General features: G+C 40.6%; 1 pseudogene; it reads left to right on the top strand.

Annotated features, from left to right (window-relative positions):
- On the top strand, positions 953-1,679 carry SNRPCP1 (small nuclear ribonucleoprotein polypeptide C pseudogene 1; annotated as a pseudogene).

Genomic DNA, 2,379 nt, shown 5'->3' with positions numbered 1-2,379 from the left:
GATAGCTAAAAGAGGAATGTAGAATGGTGAGAGTTTTACCTGTAATTTTTTAGATTTAAAGAGACTTGAATATGATGAGAAGAAACCAGAAGGAGGGGAAAGTTGAAGAAACAGGAGAGCAAATGAATCATTGATGGAACAAATTCCTGGATGGATATGGCGAAGAGTAAATTCAAGAGCGGTGACACAAGAACAGTGGTGACACTGGCCTTGACACATTCGTCCTCCAAGACACCCGGGAAGGAAAACAGAGATGCAGATAAGCTTGTGAGTGGGGAGTGGGAACTGAGGAAGCTCATCCCTGGTCATCTCAGTTTTATCAGTTAAAGAAAGTAGGGGTACTTAGGATAGGCTAGGGAGCATGAGAAGAATGGCAAAAGTTTGGACCTATCATGGAGAAGAGGGGAAAAGGGTAACTGACCAGAGACACAGATACAGATGGCTAGAAGCACTGAGGACCCAGATGAGACTGGAAATCCTAAATGTATAGTAGTAGCACCAGTCCACCTAGCTGTGTGTATTTCTCTGACACTTGGCTACCAGTGGGTAGCATGGAAGAAGATGGATATGTTTGGGTTAATCCAGGGTTGGAGATTTATAAGACAGGTTTAATAGAAGGGGGTAAAAGAGATAAGGAAGCTGGGTTTTCTCGGTAGAAAGTAGTTGAAGTGATAAGAATGGGACCTGGGCAGGAAAGGGAAGAAAATGAAACAGGAAAGGATGATACAAAACAGAAGACTAGGGTAAAATGAAGTATACAATTTGCTGAAGATCTTATGAAGATCAAAGAACAGGTATAATCAGAGTAGGGATGAAAAGTTCTAGAAAGACAGGATAGTATGGTCAGAGAATTCCTGGAATAAAATGTTGTGGTTTTTTTTTCCAAAACATTTTACCACTATTTCCATGTTATACTGTAAGTTTGAAAAATGTATTACAAGGTCATCTCCAGGCGTTGTGGAATGGAGTGGCCAACCTCCTTCAGAGCAACATGCCCAAGTCTTATTGTGTCTACTACAATATGTAGCTCTCCCATGACTTGCCATCTGTGAGAAAGGCCCACTTCAGTGGTAGGAAACACAAAGAGAATGTGAAAGACTACTACCAAAAATGGAGAGAAGAACAGTCAGACCCTGATTGACTAAACAATGGCTGCATTTCATCCAGGAAAGATACCTCCTACTCTATTCTCTGCTCCTCCTCTGCAGGGGCAATGATACCCCCTCCCCCCAGCCTTCCAGGTCCTCTTTGCCCAAGTATAATGCCAGCACCCCATATGCGAGCCCTCCCATGATGCCAATGATGGGCCCTCCTTTCCGTGGGATGATGCCAGTGGGACTTGCTCCTGGAATGAAGCCACTCATGGGAGGTCACATGTCAATGATAAGGCCTCCCGCCTGTCCCATGATGGTGCCTGCTTGGCCTAGAATGACTTGACCAGATGGTTAAGGATAGTGCAGAGGCCTTGTGTATCAGGTTTATATTACTTGTTCTACTTCACTAGGAGACCATGGTGCTGTGACTCTGGGTGTTTTCTTAACAGCGCGATAAGGAAGACTTTCTCTCTTTTCTTATCAAAGAGAGAATAGTTTTGGAGGGGAGAAGTGGGACCAAAAAAAAGTAGTTTTTATTTGTATTGTGAAATGTGAAAATAAAATTGTTAACTCTTTTCATAAAAAAGCAACTACAACAACCAAAAAACCCCAAAATGTATTACAAGTGAAAGTGTCTATGTTTGGTAACTTAAATTTGTTATTTTGTATTATCTGTGCCTTTGGCTCTCTTCCATATGATAATCCCATTCTCTTTTCATTGAACTAGGAAAATGTAGATCAGGTCTTAAGAGTATCATATTTCTAATGCTTTCACTATTTTATATGTACAGTGATATTATTATTATTATTTTAAATAAAAGCTCTTGAGAAAGAAGCTAGTGTTTTCTATTTCAGCTGTTTCAGCAGCTGCTGTAAAGATAAGCAAGCTTTCAATATACCTGCTTCCTCTGACTTTTCCTTTCCCCTAAATTTAAGTCGATTATAGGAAAAAATGTAACCTATAAAGCTGAGGAGGACAGATCACATCAATAGAACCCGCATGACAGGTGACTAATGGTAACAAAGTGGACCCATGGGATGATGGGGAAAGTTAGGGAGGCTGTGCATACCTTCATGACCTAGATTGGAAGCTGAGCCTGAAACCTAGTTAGATACATATGGGTTGGAGGTGCATTGCACATAAATGAAGTACTAGTCACTTCCATTCCATCTAAGGCTGCTTCAGCTGTACTTTTGGAAGAGATGTTAAGAATTAAATGTGTGCATTATTTAAACATAATTTGGTAGAAAAGCAAATATTTTATTTGTTGTGCCTCATTTTGCT

This window comes from Homo sapiens, chromosome 9 (genome assembly GCF_000001405.40).
Source record: "Homo sapiens chromosome 9, GRCh38.p14 Primary Assembly".
Lineage (NCBI taxonomy): Eukaryota > Metazoa > Chordata > Mammalia > Primates > Hominidae > Homo > Homo sapiens.
This window is presented reverse-complemented; position numbering and strand designations above follow the sequence as displayed.